This window comes from Homo sapiens, chromosome 6 (genome assembly GCF_000001405.40).
Source record: "Homo sapiens chromosome 6, GRCh38.p14 Primary Assembly".
Lineage (NCBI taxonomy): Eukaryota > Metazoa > Chordata > Mammalia > Primates > Hominidae > Homo > Homo sapiens.
The window spans coordinates 2,334,215-2,353,977 of NC_000006.12; the positions used below are offsets into that span (position 1 = coordinate 2,334,215).

General features: G+C 39.6%; 1 long non-coding RNA gene and 1 pseudogene across 1 annotated transcript in view; both read left to right on the forward strand.

Moving 5' to 3' along the window:
- Positions 1 to 19,763, forward strand: part of GMDS-DT (GMDS divergent transcript) — a 167,839-nt gene that overhangs the window by 88,462 nt on the left and 59,614 nt on the right. The gene's annotated exons all lie outside the window — the stretch shown is intronic.
- Positions 7,143 to 8,286, forward strand: HMGN2P28 (high mobility group nucleosomal binding domain 2 pseudogene 28; annotated as a pseudogene).

The window sequence follows — 19,763 nt, forward strand, 5'->3', positions numbered from 1 at the left end:
TCTTTATAAAACCATCAGATCTCATGAGACTTATTCACTACCATGATAACAGTATGAGGGAAACCACCCCCATGATTCAATTATCTCCCACCAGGTCCCTCCCACAACATGTGGGAATTGTGGGAGCTACAATTCAAGATGAGATTTGGGTGGGAACACAGCCAAACCATATCACACCCTGCCTCTTAAAAAAAAAATTAGCTGGGTGTGGTGGTGCATGCCTTTAGTCCTTGCTACTTGGGCTGCTGAGGCAGGAGGATTGCTTGAACCCAGGAGTTTGAGGCTGCAATGAGCTACGATTGTGCCACTACACTCCAACTTGGGTGATAGAGTGACATCCTGTTAAAAAAAAAAAAAAAAGAGTATACTTCAGGCAAAAGAAAATAATTCCAGTGGAAGACATAACATGCAAGAAAAAGTAAAGAGCAATGAAAGTGAGAAGTATCTAGATAATCCTAAAGGAAAAAGATGAACATTAATATTTAATAGGATTGAAAAAAAACAGAGTTAATACTCCAACAATAACATATAAATTAGGAAAAGGGCAAATGAAATTAAATTTTTTCTGAGGTCCATTCATTGTCTAGGAGGAGGATATCTTTAGATTTTGTTAAGTATGTAACCATAGAACTGGCTCAATCTAATTCATCTTTGTGTAATAAAATGGTGAATTGTTTTTCAATTGCTGTGAAACCTTAGAATGCAGGGCACATAACCTGAGCATGCCCAGATGAACCAAATGTGCCTTATTCATGACTCCAGATCCGGGCAGAACTAAAAAGTCTACCACAGGTGGAACCAAACCTCTCATATGAAGGAACAGGGACTGAATATGGCAGCAAGCCTGGGGATTACCTCATCTCATGCTCTAATTAGATAGTACCCTGGCATCACCTCATGGCATCATCCAATTAGATCACACCCCCAGGCGTTACCTCTTTGCAAGATCCAATTAGATCACACCTAATTACCCTTTTCCTGTAAAACCTGCCCAAGCCCCTGGCTTGGGGAGATTTTTTTGGGGAGATTTGAGCATTTTTTTGGGGAGATTTGAGCATTGTTTTCTGTCTTTTTGCCAGTTGATTCACAATAAAGTCTTTCTTTTCTCAAAAGCCTCTGCCATAACATTGGCTTCTGTAAACATCAGTCAGCAAGTCCATTGCTTGCTTAGTAATAGGTATTCATGTTTTTATTTCTAGGATAACCATTAAAAGAATAGTATCAGCAACAATCTCACTACTGGGTATCTACCCAGAGAAAAAGAAGTCATTATACGAAAAAGATACTTGCACACACGTATGTATAGTAGCACAGTTCGCAATTACAAAAATATGGAAACAGCCTAAATGCCCATCATTCAACGAGTGGATAAAGAAACTCTGGTATATTTATCCCATGGAATACTACTCAGTCATAAAAAGGAATAGAATAATGGCATTTGCAGCAACCTGGATGGAATTCAAGACTATTATTCTAAGTGAAGTAACTCAGGAATGGAAAGCCAAACATTGTATGTTATCACTCATAAGTGGGAGCTAAACTATGAGGATGGAAAGTCATAAGAATGACACAGGCCAGGTGTGGTGGTGCATGCCTGTAATTCCAGCACTTTGGGAGGCCGAGGCGGGTGGATCACTTGAGGTCAGGAGTTCGACACCAGCCTGGCCAACATGGTGAAACCCCATCTCTGTTTAAAAAAAAAAAAGAATAATACAATGGACTTAGGGGACTCAAGGGAAAGGGTGGGAAGGGGGTGAAGGATAAAAAAAACTACAAATTTGGCACAGTATATACTGTTCGGGTAATGGGTGCACAAAATCTCAGAAATCACCACTAAAGAACTCATTCATGCAACCAAATACCACCTATTCTCCAAATATTTATTGAAATAATAATTTTAAAAAGCCCCTTTCAATCATACTGGAGTCTGTGCTAATGAGGTGACTCTTGGAAGATGGGGTCTGGTGGCCAGAGGAGCCAATCATGTGATTTAAAAAAAAAAAAACTTGTTGCAGTTGAAATCTGAAAGCATATTGATTATTTTTTCATACCTTATTACATTAAAGTATATTGTTTTATCTTATAAAAAAGAATAGGATCAGATGATCTAATTTGAAATCAGTAGAGAAAAAAATGGAATGATAAAAAATATTACAAAAGGAGTAGGAGAAGAAAGAAACACTGAATAGCTATAACAAATATAAAGTCTAAAATATGCTAGATTTAAGCCCAAATATAAAATAATTATATTATATGCAAATGGCTTAAATATGTCAGCTAAAATACAAAGATTATCAGATTAGATAACAAGAACATCAAAACCATAAGAATACAATTATATGGTATCTACAAAAGGTACTTCCAAAATATAAGGTAGAGAAAGGTCTAAAATGAAAATAAGAAAAAAGATGTATTATTCACACTATAATTGAAAGAAGCTGGTATAGCTATTTAATAAACTAATGCTGGGGCCCGGCATGGTGGCTCTCGCCTGTAATCCCAGCACTTTGGGAGCTCAAGGCGGGTGGATCACTTGAGTTCAGGAGTTGGAGACCAGCCTGGCTAACATGATGAAACCCATCTCTATTAAAAATACAAAAATTAGCCAGGTGTGGTGATGCATGCTTGTAGTTCCAGCCACTTGTCTCAGAAAAAAAAAACAACAACCTAATTTTGGTATATTCATACAATGGAATACCATGCACCATAAAAATTGATTAACTGCAGTTGTACATAACAACATAAATGAATCTCACATATATAATGTTAGATGAAAGAAACAGGACACACACACACACACACATTCAGTGTGATTCTATTTACATATTTTTAAAACAGGCAAACTAAATTATATCACTTAGAAATGCATAAACAAATGGAAAATTTTAAGCAAGAAACTGAATTTTGCAAAAGTCATAATGGTTATTTCTGATTAGGGAAGGAAAAGATTATGATTAGAAGTGACACACTGGGGGCCTCTGTAGTGGTCACAGTATTAGCTTCATTAAATTTTGCATATATATGTGTATATATGTGTGTGTGTATATATACACACAATTTTGCATATATATGTATATATATACACACATATATGTGTACATACACACAATTTTACATATATGTGTGTGTGTATATATATACACACACTCACAAATGCCACTAGTGTGGATTATAGCTGAAGAAATGGATAACACACTACTTATTAATGTAGAACAAAGGCCAGTGCACCCCACCAAACTGATACCCCCAAACTCACTTATATGAATAAGTGTATGAAACCTATGAGGTTTCCCTATGAAACCTACTCCATAAAATTGCTGAAGGCAACTTTTCCATCAGATGTGTAAAATTAATGTAGGGATACATCAAACATTAGAAAGCAAGGAAAACAGTAATTCTCCATTAACAGTCCATAATTATAAGAAAATCTGTGAAAGGTGGAGAAAAATGTAAAATAATAGTCATAAGGAAACTCAGTGAGATACAATAAAATGCAGACGTACAAACTCAATAAAGTCAGGAAAGCAATTCATGGTTTGAATTGATTTGAATGAGAAATTCAACAAAGAGACAGATATCATAAAAAAGGTATCATAAAAAAGAACCAAACAGAAATCCTAGAGCTAAATAATTCAATGAATAAAACAAATGAAATTGATAGCTTCAACAAAAGACTAGATCAAGTAGAAGTAACAATTTCTAAACTGAAAGATAGGTCTTTTCAAACAACTCAGGAAGTAGAAGCAGCAGAAGCAGGAGGAGGAGAAGGAGGAAAAGAAGAAGAGGAAGAAGAAGAGGAGGAAGAGGAGGAGGAAGGAAAAGAAGAGGAAGAAGAAGGAGGAGGAGGAGAACAAGAAGAAGAAAAGGAAGAAGAAGAGGAGGAGGAAGAAGAAATAATGAAGCAAGGATATCAGATTTATAGGGCACTATTACACCAAGAAATATTCATATTATGGGTGTTCCAGAGGCAGAAGACATGGGAAAAGGTGAGAAAAACACATTTAATAAAAGAATAGCAGAAAACTTCGCAAGTTTTGAGAGAAAGGTGGACATCCAGGTCTAGGAAGCTCAAAGAATTCCAAATAGATTCAACCCAAACAGGTCCTCTCCAAGGTACATAACAGTCCAATTGTCAACAGTCAAAGACAAAGAATTCTAAAATCAGCAAGTGAAAAGTGTCAAGTCAAACTTAAGGGAATCCCCATTAGACTAAGAGCAGATTTCTCTACACAAACATTACAGGCCAAGAGAGAATGGGGCAAGATATTGAAAGTACTGGGAAAAAACCCCTGTCAACTAGGAATATTATACTCAGCAAAGCTATCTCCTTCAGAAATAAAGGAGAAATAAAGTCCCAGACAAGCAAAACATAAGGGAATTCACTATCACTAACCTGATTTTATAAGAAATGCTCAAGGGAGCCTTGCATCTGAAAGTGAAAAGATAATAATGTGAACCCAAAATATCTGAGACAGGTCGCAGTCAATTTAGAAAGTTTATTTTGCCAAGGTTAAGGATGCACCCATGACACAGCCTCAGGTGGTCCTGAGGCTTGGACATGTGCCCAAGGTGGTTGGGGAATAGCTTGCTTTTATGCATTTCAGGGAGACATGAGACACTTCAGGACAACTTGAAGTGGGGGCTTCCAGGTCAGAAGTAGATAAGAGACAAAAGGTTGCATTCTTTTAAGTCCTCGATCAGCTTTCCACTGAATACACAATTTAGTCTGGCTTGGTGCATCTGCATTGTTACATAAAGAATAAGACAGAGGAAACAATCAGATATCCATTTGTCTCAGGTCAACCTCAGAGGGATGACTTTGAATTCTGTCCTTTGCCCACAAGGAATTTCCTTGAGACAAGGAAATTCCAAGTCTCAAAACACTAAAACATCAAAATTATGTCAAATATCTTATGTGACCACAGTGGAATAAACTAGACATCAATTACAAGAGGAACATTTAAAACTATGCAAATACATGGGAGTTAGAAAACATGCTTCTGAATGACCAATGAGTGAAGGAATAAATTAGGAAGGGAATTTAAAAATTCCTTGAAACAAATGAAAATAGAAACACAACATACCAAAACCTATGGGGCACAGCAAAAGAAGTGTTAAATGGCAAATTTATAGCAATCAATGCCTACATGAAGACACTAGAAATATTTCAAATAAACAGCCTGATGATGCACAAAGATACAAATCTACCAAAAGAAGAAAAAACCAAATCCAAAATTAGTAGAAAAAGGGAAATAATGAAGATCTGAGAAGAAATAAACAAAATTGAAGCTAAAAAATACAAAAGATCAATGAAACAAAAATTTGGATTTTTGAAAAGATAAACAAAATAGACAATTAGCTAGACTAACTAAAAAAGAGAGAAAACCAAGTAAATAAAATCAGAAATGAAAAGGGGATGTCACAATGGATATCACAGAAATACAAAGGATAATTAAAAACTACTAAAAATAACTATATTTCAATAAATTTGAAAACCTCAAGGAAATGAACAAGTTCCTGGACACATACAAACTCTTGAGATTTAACCAAGATGAAATAGAAAACCTGAACAGAGTGATAAGAAGTAATGCAATTGGGCTGGGCACGGTGGCTCACGCCTGTACTCCCATCACTTTGGGAGGCTGAGCTGAGCAGATCACAAGATCAGGAGTTTGAGACTAGCCTGGCCAACATGGTGAAACCCTGTCTGTACTGAAAAAATACAAAAATTAGCCAGGCATGGTGGTGTGCACCTGTAATCTCAGCTACTCAGAAGGCTGAGGCAGGAGAATTACTTGAACCCAGGAGGCAGAGGTTGCAGTGAGCCAAGATTGCACTGCTGCACTCCAGCCTAGGTGACAGAGTAAGTCACACACACATACACACACACAAAAGAAGTAATGAGATTGAATTAGTAATAAAAAGTTCCCCAAAAAAGAAAAGTTCGGGACTGAATGGCTTTCCTATTGAATTCTATTGCTCCTTTAAATAAGAATTAATACCAATTTTTCTCAAGTTATTCCAGCAATGTTGAAGCAGTGGGAATTCTTCCTAATTTATTCTAGGAGGTCAGCATAACCCTGATACCAAAACTAGGCAAGAACAGAACAGCAACAAAACAATCTACAGGCCAATATCCCTGATGAACATAGGTGGAAAAGTTCTCAGTGAAACACTAGCAAACTGAATCCAAAATTACATCAGAAAGATGATACACCATGCTCAGGTGAAATTTATGCCAGCAATTCAAGGATGGTTCAACATATACAAATCAATAAACATCATTATTACATCAATAGAATAAAGGACTAAAACCGTGTCATCATCTCAATAGATGAAGCAAAAGCATTTGATTAAATTCGACATCCCTTCATTATCAAAATTCTCAGTAAATTAGGTACAGAAGGAAAGTACTTCAATATAATAAAAGCTATGTGTGACATAACCACAGCTAACATTTTATTCAATGGGAAAAAGCCAAAAGCTTTTCTCTTAAGAACTGGAACAATACAAGGATGTCCACTCTCATTGCTTTTGTTCAACGTAGTACTGGAGGTCTTGTGCAGTGCAATTGCCAAGAGAAGAAAATAAATGGCATCCAAATTGGAAAGGAGGAAGTCGAATTTTTCTTTGCAGATGACATAATCTTATATACTGAAAAACTTAAAGGCTCTACCAAGAATTCTTAGAACTGATAAATGAATTCAGTAGAGTTGCAAGATACATAATTAATATACGAAAATCAGTAGCTTTTGTAGGCACATACAATGAACTAGCTGAAACAGAAATCAACAAGGCAATCCCATTTACAATAGTTACAAAACAAATAAACTGCCCAGTAATAAATGTAACCAAGAAGGTGAAAGCCTGCTGTAAGGAAAACTACAAAACTTTGATGAAAAAAATTGAAGAGGATACAAACAAATAGAAAGACATCCCCATGCTTATAGGTTGGAAGAATTAATATTGTCAAATGACAATACTACCCAAAGCAATCTACAGGTTCAATGTAATCCCTATGAAAATACCAATGACATTTTTCACAGAAATAGAAAAAAATCATAAATGTATATTATACTACAAGAGACTTCGAATATCTAAAGCAATTCCAAACAAAAAGAACAAAGTTGGAGGTATCAAATAAGAAGGGTGAGAATGCCCCCTGGGCTGACCAAAGCCCACGGGCCACTGCATCCCTTGCCAAGTGCCTACATCCCACTGCCATTGCTGCCATCATGCCCAAGACAAAGATTGAAGGGGATGCTAAAGGAGATAAAGCCAAGGTGAAAGACGAACCACTGAGAAGATCCGCGAGGTTGTCTACTAAACCTTCCAAAGCCAGAGCCCAAGCCAAAAAAGGCTCTCGAGAAGAAGGGAGAGAAGGTACCCAATGGAAAAAGGGAAAAGCTGTTGCTGGCAAGGAGGGGAATAACCCTGCAGAAAATGGAGATGCCAAAACAGACCAGGCACAGAAAGCTGAAGGTGCTGGAGATGCCAAGTGAAGTGTGCACATTTTTGATAACTATGTGCCTCTAGAGGTGACTGTAGAGTGTGAAATACTCTTTTTATCAAGTTTTATAAAAATGCAGCATTTTGTTTCACTTTTTTTAAAAGCTATGTTGTTAGCACACAGAACAATTCATTGTTGTTTTTGGGAAAAGAATGTCCGTGAAGCTGGATTGATGTGGAGAAGACACCTTTCCCTTCTAGTTTTGAGAGACTTCCTCTTGGCTCCCAGGAGGAGGGATTTCCTGACTTTGACACACATGGCCACCTTGTCACAAAAGCCATTAAAAACAAATTCATTTTTATGTCCTCTTCTCCCTTTCAACCTTTCAGCATAGACTTAACTCCCTTAAACCCAGACACCTGTTGGGATGTGACCCCCCAGTAATTGGTCACCAGTGTGTCAGGCAATCTGGACTTTCCAGTGATAGCACTGAGATGGTGCTCCTTAAAAGAGCAGTGGTTCCATTTGTAGGTTGTGGATCTTTGGATAAATTCTGCCATTTTCATTTTACTTCCTGAAAGCCAGGGTTGGCTCATGAAAAGGTGTTGAACAACATGCTAAATGTGAAATGTTAACCCTCACTCTAAACTTTCTCTGTTCAGAGCATCAGATGAAGACTTAATTGAGTTTTATAGTGGCTTTCTGATTTTGGGTAGTCAACTGAAGAAGGGAGTTTGAAAGTTGTTGTGTACTGTTAATGATTGTCTGCCCAAGTTCTGCTTGAAATACCATGATTGTTTATGGAAAGTACCTTTACTAAAGCTGGATAAAGTTTGAAATAACAAAAAAAGTTGGAGGTGTCACACTACCAGACCCCAAAATATATTACAAAGTTGTAGTAACCAAAATGGGCATTAAAAAACACGTAGATCAATGGAACAGAATAGAGAACACAGAAATAAATGCACATATTTATAGTCAACTGATTTTTGTCAAAACTACCAAGAACACTCATTGGAGAAAGAACCGTTTCTTCAATAAATAGTTCTAGGAAAAGTGGATGAAACTAAACCCCTACCTCTCACCCAATACAAACGTCAACTTAAAGTGGATCAAAGACCTAAATTTAAGACCTGAAACCATGAAATTACTAGAAGAAGTTCTTTGGGGGAAATGCTTCAGGATATGAGTCTGGGAAAAGATTTTATGAATAGGATATCCAAAGCACAAGCAACAGAAACAAAAATAAACAAATGGCATTATAGCAAACTAAAAAGTTTCTGTGCAGCAAAGGGTACAACCAATAGAGTGAAAAGATAATTTACAATATTAGAGAAAATCTGTGCAAACTACTTATCCAATTTGGGGTGAATATCCTGAATATACAAAGAACTCAAACACTTCAACAGCTAACAAAAAATAATAATAAAAGAAAAAGATGGACATGTGGGCCAGGCGCAGTGGCTCACGCCTGTAATCCCAGCACTTTGGGAGGCCGAGGTGGGTGAATCACTTGAGCCCAGGAGATCGAGACCAGCCTGGCCAACATGGTGAAACCCCGTCTCTATTAAAAATACAAAAATTAGCTGGGTGTGGTGGCACATGCCTGTAATCCTAGCTGCTTACGTGGCTGATGCATGAGAATTGCTTGAACCTGGGAGGCGGAGGTTGCAGTGAGCCAAGATCAGGCTACTGTACTCTAGCCTGGGTGACAGAGCAAAACTCTGTCTCAAAAAAAAAAAAAATGCAAATGATCTGAATAGACATTTCCCTAAGAAGACATAAAAATGGTCAAGAAATATGTGAAAATGTGCTCACATCTCTAACCATCAGAGAATTGCAAATCAAAACTACAATGAGGTATCATCTCGCCCCAGTTCGGATGGCTGTTATCAAAAAGACAAAAAATATAAAATGCTGGTGAGGATGCAAAGAAAAGGGAATTCTTATACATTGTTGGTGGAAATGTAAACTAGTATAGCCACTATGGAGAACAGCATGGAGGTTCCTCAAAAAACTACAAACAGAACTACAATATGATCCAGCAATTCCACTACTGGAATTTATCCAAAGCAAAGGAAATCATTATATTGAAGAGACATCTGCACCTCCACATTTATTGCATCAGTATTCACAATAGCCAAGATGTGAGATCAACCTAGGTGTCCAAAACCAGATGAATGGATAAGAAAAATTATACACACACACACACACACACACACACACACACACACACACACACACACTGGAATACTATTCAGTCATGAAAAATAATGAAATCTTGTCATTTGCAGCACCGTGGATGAAACTGGAGGACACTATGTTAAGTGAAGTAAGGCTAGAAGAGAAAGTTAAATACTGCATGTTCTCACTTACATGTGGAAGCTTAAAAAAGTACATTCATAACGTTGTGTTTAGGTTGATGCAAAAGTAGTTGCGATTTTTTTGCCATTGAATGCTATGGCAAAAACTGCAATTACTTTTGCACCAACCTAATACACCATCACCACTATCTATTTCCAGAACTTTTTTCATTATCCCAAACAGAAACTTAATGTCTGGACTGTCCCAAATTATTAATGTTTCCAAGGACCACAAATAAACTACAAAAATTTTTACTGAGGGGATCATAAGCATGCATCATACAGTTTGTTTATTCATTATTGAAAAGTATTTATTCAACTCCTTCTAAGTACCCAGCTCCAGGCTAGGTGCTGTGAATAATAACAGCAATTACTCAGATTTGTATAGTACACGTTATGTGCAGGTACTGTTCTAAGTGTTTAACATGTATTAACTCAACAAAGACAAGTAAGCTGGTCTTTGATCCCAAGGACCATTTAGAGTGCTAAGGATTATGATAAAAATTGGCACAGGCTAGCAGGCTTAAGGAAGGCTAATAAACCAAACTGAACACCCAAGTCCACCTAAAAAGGATCTAACATCAATCCATTTTAAGCCTATTGTCCCTGAAGATTGGCTGAACTAGTTTCACAGGTTACATAAGCTGTCACCATATTGCATTATGGCCCATTCAGGTCAGCAGCCTTTAATACCGGCGCTTACTTCAGGGAGGGGTACAGGAACTTTTCAGTTCGAAAGGGATCACTCCTATTAATAGATTCTTGCTGTATTCTTGTTCCAGAGGTGTACCTCAGGGGGTGTTGCCGGTTAGACAACATTTTCCTTTTGTCCTCAGATTTGGGTGGGTCTGTGAAGTTTCCGTGTGACAGCAACAAAGTGCCCAATACACTGGCTGCTGGGAGGGGAATTTGTTCCTAGGAGCTTTGCTCACAGAGATGACAAGAATCTCCTCATGATGCAGCAAAAATAAGGATTTGGAAAGCTTTTAGCCTATCCAGCAACAGATCTCAAAATGTGGTCCCAGACAAAAAACATGAGCATCACTTTGGAACTTGGACCCCATAGCAATTTGAGTTTTAACAAGTTCTGGAGTTGCTTCTAACTCTAAAATTTCAGTAGTCAATTCAGTCTCTTTTCTTGTATGGTTACTTTGTCTGAAAAAACCTATTTAGTATCCTTAATATTCATACTTAGATATTTATACTTAGATTTCCAAAATGGTCTCTTAAGAACAGAAAGAAGTCAATGAACTTTGCCTGTTAAACAGAGATCTGCAAGCCCCAATTTTTAAGTTTTTTTTTCTTTTCTTTTCTTTTTTTTTTTTTTAAGACGGGGTTCCCTCTTGTTGCCCAGGCAGGAGTGCAATGGCACGATCTTGGCTCACTGAAACCTCCGCCTCCTGGTTTCAAGCGATTCTCTCTCCTGCCTCAGCCTCCCGAGTAGCTGGGATTACAGGTGCACGCCACCAAGTGGGGCTAATTTTTATGTTTTTAGTAGAGATGGGGTTTCACTATGTTGGTCAGGCTGGTCTCAAACTCCTGACTTCAGGTGATCCACCCACCTCGGCCTCCCAAAGTGCTGGGATTACAGGCATGAGCCACTGCGCCCGGCCAAGTTTATTTTTAAAAAATCAAAGAACAGGTGACAAATGCAATATGGTCCTCAAAGCCTAAAATATTTAGTGTGACCCCTTTTATAAAAACTGTGCTGATCCCTGCTTTTAGAACCTTATTTCATTTGAATTAAACACTTCTATTGCTTTTGTAAATGTAGTCTAATGTCCAAATTTATAGTAGAATACAATTTTTCCCCAAAAATATGCTTCAATTTACTGAATTGTGTTTTTATGTTAGTGAAATTTAAACTCTGTACTGCTTTTTATGACTGCCTATCCTCTGTTTAGAGAGGAACAGGTTCCATGTTTCGCTGTCACCTGACAAGTGTTAAGCAGACACATAGAGAAAGTTAAAATTTGTTTTGAGTCCTTAAGAGTGAAGTTAAGGAATCAGACCTATAAATGGACACCATGTGATGAGTGCTGTCATCAAAGCATGGACAATGGGCTTTGGGAGTACATTAAGGGGACACCGATTTAGTACTCCATTATAGGGGGGCAGCCTCACTCATTTATCCTGTGCCCTGATTATGGACATTTTGGTTGTTTTCCAACTTTTCTTTTGTCTATCAAAACAATGTTGCCATGCATAACCTTGTACATGGTTCATTTCATTCACACGGGAACAAAAGTGCTGGGTTGAAGGCTATGTGCTGGGAGACTGAATAGACCAGTGGACAATGGCCAGGCTATATAAAAATAGGATTCAGATCCACAAACTGCAGCAATAATCTCTGTAACAATTGGCCCAAAATGTTAAGAACTTGTTTTTTTTTTTGAGACCGTGTCTCACTCTGTCACCCAGGCTGGAGTGCACTGGTGATCATGGCTAACTGCAGCCTTGACCTCTTGGGCTCAGGTGATCCTCCCACCTCATTCTCCTGAATAGCTGGGACTGCAGGTACAGCCAACGTGTCCGGCTAATTTTTTTTTTGTATTTTTTGTAGAGACAAGGTTTCACCATGCTGCCCAGGCTGGTCTTGAACTCCTGGGCTCAAGTGTTCCACCCACCTTGGTCTCCCAGAGTGTTGGGATTACAGGCCTGAGCCGCCATAACAGGTCAAGAACTTGAGTGATGATTGACAACTTCTCTAATTTTTGTTCCTGCTTCCAACTAACAGCCAATCAGAGAAAGTCAAATATGCACCCTAACCAATCACATAGGAGGCCCCACTTCTAGTTAGCTGCCTCCAGCTTTCCCACGCCTATATCCTCCAATCAACATGCACTTGAAAGCTTCCCCTTATTCTACTATAAAGCTTTCCTACCTCTCTCCTTGCCTTTGAGTCTCTGCCGAAATGCAAGGTGGTGGGTGACGCCCTTGCTATGGCAAGCTCTGAATAAATAGTCTTTGCTTGTTCTCACTTGGTTGGTCTTCATGTATTTCCATAGTTAACAGTGGAGGTCTGCACACTCTGTTGTCCTGGACTCAACCTTCAGCCAGGTCTGGTACCCACAGAGGCCCCCTGTGTCTTGCCACTCGAAGCACGGATGTGCTAAGTCAGCCCTGAGTCTAAACCCCACTCTCTTTGTGTTGAGTTCCTTGACTGTGCTCACTTTGGTATCCAGCTTTTGTTAATAACTGGGTATTAGTTCCCATTTGTTTGGCAGCCTTGGTGGAATCATACCTTTCTTTGTCAGTCCTTTTCGCTCACGTACCTGTGAGCTTGTGGTTCTCACTGACAGGCACCCACTTGGACAAACTCAGCTATGGGTAACCAATAAAACCAGATGAGGTTCTCCTTCTGTCTGGATTTTGTGTCTTGAGAGCTTGACTTTGATCCATCTGGATTTTGTGTCTTGAGAGCTTGACTTTGATCCAGAGACAGCATTCTCTCTGGCTTTCTGCCTGCTGGGTGGCATTTTTTGATTGGTACACCTCCAGATAAAATTCTGACGTACAAAGTGCTTCACTAAAAGATTCATTGACCAGAGCTAATGAGCAATTCGACAAATGTAAGAAAGAACACACTAGACTCATTTTTCTGGAAAACCTCCCCCTCCATGCTCCCTTGGTTGTCTCCTAATATCCAGCTCTCTTTTCCTTTTATGCTCTGATCACTGTCCTTCCACACCCACACCGCCTCCCTCATCTTCCCTTGGTCCAGACCTCCTACTTTTCCCAAACAACCCTCCTAAAACTCCTCTTTCAAACCAGTTATGTGGGGAAACTGTAGACTTAAGCCTTGGGCCTGGGCTGAATTAAGAGGTATAATTAAAGATTTCCCTAATGCTTGTAATCTCAGCACTTAGGGAGGTTGAGGCAGGAGGATTGCTTAAGCCCGGGCGTCTGAGACCAGCCTGGGCAACACAGTGAGACCCTGTCTGTATTTTTTTTTAAGTTGAAAAAAAAATGATTTCCTTAAAGCCAAAGAAGACCAGCAAATATTTATTAGAAAAGTTTAGAATTCCTCTGGAGGCATATGACCCAGGGACCCCTGACTTTGTACACATGTTGTACACATGGGTACCTTGTACATTTGTCAACGTGTACACATGTTGGTCAGAACCTCCGATGCTAAAGGTTGGAGGGTAAAAGCTGATTGGACTGACCAGGAACGATGCCTTATAGGATTCCCCTTTCCACAATAAACCTGACAGTCAAAAAAAGGGACCTACCCAAAATGTAGGTCAAGTGCCCTAAAAGTCATACCCCAAATGTTTTCAAAACAAATCTGCTGGAGCATAATTCAATCATGCAAACAAACAAAGAAAAAAGATGACACTATAGGAGATTTCCGAGATAGACTAGAAAGCAACTTTGGATGACAGCTGAGCGTTACAGAGGTGCTGAGGGAGCAACAGCCCTTTCATCTGGCTTTGTCAATGGAATTGAACCTGAAGTTGGAGACCTAATTCAAAAACAGAAATGAGCATGGAGAATAGCCACCTGAGATGAGCAACAACACCAGGCACAGCATGTTGCAAGGGCTTTAGAACAAAAACGAGGCAAGATCCAAAGTAAACTGTGGCCCTGCAGATCAAACAGCTGGGTAGCCCACTCCCCAGTCAACCACCTATGGACAAGGACACTTTGGGATATCTTAAACTGGAAAGATCTTCCCATCTTACACACACATGCGCGTGCGCGCTCACACACACACACACACAGAGAACAGAAAAAAATGACAAAAATTCCTTGATTCATATCAATGAAGGAGTTGTGTAGAAGGACAAAGGGCATGATGTCCTGTTATGCTTAAACACTCAAGATGAATTAGCTTAACTGCAGATGGCCGTCCTCATCAGCTGCTAGTAGACACTCTTTATACATTGAACCCTGCTGCCTTTGTTCAACCTCCTCACGGTAACAACTCACAAGTCATTGGGATTTCAAGTAATCCATAGGCTTTTTGTGTCTCTCAGCCCTTAACCACAACCTTTGGGCTCTTCCTGTTCTCTGACACCAATCCTGCAAATTTAGTAGGGAGAGATCTATTCTGCAAATGGAATTGTAATATTAAATGCATACCGGGGGTGGGGGACTGTCTCCTGCGGTGTCAGAGGACCCTGCATTCATAATCGCGTTGCCTGCTCTGGCTGGCTGTGTACCTTAGCCTCTTTTGTTATATTTGAGGAACACCCAAGATAAGGATTATGGGGCAATGTAGGGTTGAGGGAAATTTGTGTTAGGATTTAATAGAACATTCTGAAATTTTTGGAGAAAAATGATAGACATAATATTCTTAATAACAGCTACAGTAGTATAGAGTATATACAGCATCCAAATGGAAATAGTTGTAAATATTTGTCAACATTAAATTTAGTTTAAAATAAAAACCTTGGGAGCTCAGTAGTCAGCTGAGAAAATGTCCTAACCTTGCATTTTGAAGGGGAGATTGACATTTCTTTTTTTTTCCATTTTGTTTATTTATGTATGTATTTGTTTTTCAATTTTACTTTTTATTTTAGATTCGGGGGCACAGGTGCAGGTTTGTTACAAGGGTATATTGTGTGATGCTGAGGTTTGGGCTTCTAATGATCCCATTGCCCGAGTAGCAGACATAGTACCCGATGAGTAGTTTTTCAGCCCATGCCCCCAGCTTCCTTCCTTTTGGAGTCCCCAGTGTCTATTTTTCCCGTCTTCATGTCCTTTTGTGGTGAAGCTAAACATTGGTTTAGCCTATAAGTGAGAACAGGCCGGGTGTGGCGGCTCATGCCTATAATCCCAGCACTTTGGGAGGCCAAGGTGGGAGGACCACTTGAGCCCAGGAGTTTGAGACTAGCCTGGGCAACATGGCAAGACACTGTCTCTACAAAATTTTTAAAAAATTACCTGGGCATGGTGGCATACACCTGTAGTCCAAGCAACTTTGGAGGCTGAGGTGGGAGGATTGCTTGATCCTGAGAGATTGAGGCTGCAGTGAGCTGTGATCACACCACTGCACCGCAGCCTGGGCTGGGCTTTTGAGACAGAGCAAGACCCTGTCTCAAAAGAAAAAAAAAAGAAGTGAGAACATGAAGTATTTGGTTTTCTGTTTCTGTGTCAATTCGCTTAGGATAATGGCCTCCAGCTGCATCCATGTTGCTTCAGGGGACGTGTTCATTCTTTTTTGTGACTTTGTAGTACTCCGTGGTGTATAAGTTTGATATTTTTTCGTTCTTATTTATTTATTTATTTATTTGAGAGGAGTCTCGCCCTGTCGCCCAGGCTGGAGTGCAGTGGTGTGATCTCGGCTTCACTGCAGGCTCCACTTCCCAGGTTCATGCCATTCTCTTGCCTCAGCCTCCCGAGTAGCTAGGATTACAGGCGCCCGCCACCACGCCCGGCTAATTTTTTTGTGTTTTTTAAAAGAGACGGGGTTTCACCCTGTTAGCCAGGATGGTCTCGATCTCCTGACCTCGTGATCCACCCGCCTCGGCCTCCCAAAGTGCTGGGATTACAGGCGTGAGCCACCGCGCCCGGCTGACATTTTCTTTATCCAATCTACTATTGATAGTCACCTGGGTTGTTTCTATGTCTTTGCTGTTGAGAACAGTGCTGTGATAAACATACAAGGGCAGGTGTCTTTTGTGATTTATTTTCCTTTGGGTGTATACCCAGTCATGGGGTTGCTGGGTTGAATGGTAATTCTATTTTTGCTTCTTTGAGAAATCTCCAAACTGTTTTCCACAGGGGCTGAACTAATTTGCATTCCCACCAGCAGTGTATAAGCATGCCCTTTTCTCTGCAGCCTCACCGGCATCTGTTATTTTTTTGACGTTTTAACCATAGCCATTCTGACTGGTGTGAGATGGTGTCTCATTGTGGTTTTGACCTGCATTTCTCTGGTGATCAGTGATGCTGAGCATTTCTTCACGTGTTTGTTGGCCGTATGTATGGAGACTGACGTTTATGTTGGATGACAATTATGGGGAAAAAACTCACCAGGACTACGTAATATAATCTTCCTTCTGTGTAGAAAGAGGCATTTCCTATGTCCCCAGACCATCACACTGACTCTACAAGATTGGGTTCTCTTGTCGTTATGGTGCTACAGGGCAGGATGTCCAACTCTGACACTCAAGGGAGATCAGGTGCGTTATAGGTAGTGTGGTTTAGTAGAGTGAAAACTATCCAAGTCACCTGGAATCCAGACATGAAGCCATCTTGATAGAGGGCCCAAGGGTAATCCACTTCAGTAGCCAGGAACCTGTTGAGCAAATGCCAGCTTGTGATAAAAATTTATTGTATGGATCACAGTGTCCCATAAAGTAGAGACTCTAAATGTTAAAAACAACATTGGCTGCTTGACTTGATTAGAACGCAGCAGTTTGAGATGTTTAAATGTGAAGGGCGAGAGGCTTGGCTTCCTATGTTTAAGGAGTTGATCTCGTGATGTTTGGAGAGCCCAGCTTTGAGATGCCTGGTCTCTCCTGATGCTTCCCTTTGATTCCACAAAAGGGAGGGCCCGGTGGCTGCTGAATGGTACAGTCTGAGGCGATGACAGAGGCTGCAGGTCTCTGCCAGCATTGGAGACCCTCAGACACAGTGTGGCTGGTGACCACTGGAGGAGGCAGGGTTCAGGTTCCTGGGCATCTGCAGGCCAGCTCTCAAACCCCCACCCACCTCCCACTTCCCCCCGAACCCCCGGCTCTCCACAGCTTGCACCTATCCTATCTGGAGTAGTAGTGAGAGTTGTATCCCTTAATTCCCATTTTTATTGGGTTTCTGGACAATGCTGGAAAGCATTCAAAATAGCTCATATTTTACTCTTACCTTGTGAGTCTAAGTAAAGACCCATTCATTTCAAGAAAAATAACTTGCTTTTGGTTCTGTCCCTGGAGCTAGAAAGTTTGCTGTTAAGTAGATTGATTACGCATCAGCCTGGAATAGCTAGTTCCTTGCTGTGTGGCCTTGGGCAAGCCACTCAAGTGCTCTGGGCTGTCATTTACTCACCTGTGAACTAAGAGGGCTGAACTGGATGATATTGAAGGTCCCTATTAGCTCTAAGTCAGGGCCCAGCATGCAGGCATATCAAGTTTCTTTTCTTCATTTTCAAAAAGTAAGCTTCTGAGAATATTTTTGACCATATTGCAAAGTCAAATAATTATTGAGTGAGTCTGTTATTTCATGCCATTCCTTTTCTACTAGCTAATCTAGTTTGCAAAATACCCTATGCTGCTGGTGAAAGGAAAAAAAAAAACAAAGTGTGAACCCAAAACTCATGATTCATTCTAAGTTAGTTCAACAGATTAGTTCCTCATTCTCTCAGATCTCCAGGGAAGAGACATCAACACCAGCCCATCGCTGATACCCTTTGTCCTGGCCTCCGGAGCGCTCCCTGCACAGTCCCAAGTCTGCAAGAAGGGGGATCTTTTCTTGAAAACCTACAGTGCTAATAATTGTCAAAAATATATAAATTCTAAATTTAAAATTTAAGGTATTGGTGCCTATGAAATGTCCCCAACACAAAGAAATGATAAATGTTTGAGATGATGGAAATGCTGATTACCCTGATCTGATCACTCACTTTATATGTATTGAAACATCATTATGAACTCCATGAATATGTATAATTGTTATTAGTCAGTTAAAACAAATAAAACTAAAAATGTTTAACGATAAGAAGAAAAAAATGTTGTGTTGTCAACACTAAGTTTTAAAACACGCTATAAGGTGGTTACTGAAAATTGCCTGCTGTGCTTGGTATGTTGTGCACAGCATTATGGTTATTTATTTGGGGGTGTTTCTGGTTGTCTTCTCTTGCCCCTGTCGCCACACACAGCCCATTGTGCAGCATTATGAGTGTCTCTTGGGCCAAATTTTCTGATCTCAGGTCCAGGATTTTTATTTCTTAGTGATAATAGTATGCATTTTTAAAAAGTATAAATGATTAGTATCAAATTCTAATATGTAGCTTTAAATTGGAAAATTTTTAACTAGAAAAATTTTAACATCATATACAGGCTAGAGTCTTTTTTTCTGCCAGTCTTTGTGGATTTTACTGGAAAAATATACATACATCCCATGATAGAATTTATTCTCTAGAAGATGATTGGCAAACTTTGGCCTGCAAGGCCAAATCTGTCCTTCCTCTGCATCTGGTACTACTCTTGAGTTAAGAATGGCTTTTACGTTTTTAAGTGGTTATGTAGGTGCCCACGTAATAGTCTCGACTTTACCTCTTGGTCCCCAAAGCCTGAAATATTTATGATCTGATCTTTTAAGAAAAATTTGCCAACTCTATTCTACAGAAAAGGAATGAACAACTAACTCAGCAATGCATATGGAGAGGAGAGGAGCATGTAAGTAAACCTGAGAACTTTGGTAATAAAGAAAGAGAAAATTTTATTCAGATTATACAGAAGTATTTACATTTATAAATGCCTCTTTGACAATATGATCGGTTTCAGTTTATCTTGTTGGCATGATTCAAAGCCCTGGTGTCAGAGATTGTTCCATTAAGTAGGCAGATTACACACACACACACAGATAAGGACATATCAAGTAAAAGCACAATTAAAGAGAAGTTCGTGGGAAGATCCTGATTTGCATACCCAGAGTGGGTCTGTATACACATTAATCTGACAGCGGCCTGGACGATTTTAATGTTTCTAACTCCGAATATAAACTTGTGTTTCTCTCATGCAGATGTTGCCCTTTCTTCTGCTTATAGGAAAATTCCCATGTAGTTTCAAAGCCCTGTCATGGGCAAGGTAAACAGTGGTGCTAGCTGTGAACAGATAAAATGTATATCCATCGATTAACTAAGCCTTGGAAATGAAACACGTCCTGTCTCTTGAATGCTGTACACAGAGCCAAGAGAAATAGACGGATCATCAGGCTTTACAAAGGGAGTTCACAGTAGTCGCTGATATGAGGGAATAATATCTTTGAAAGTTTCAAAACAC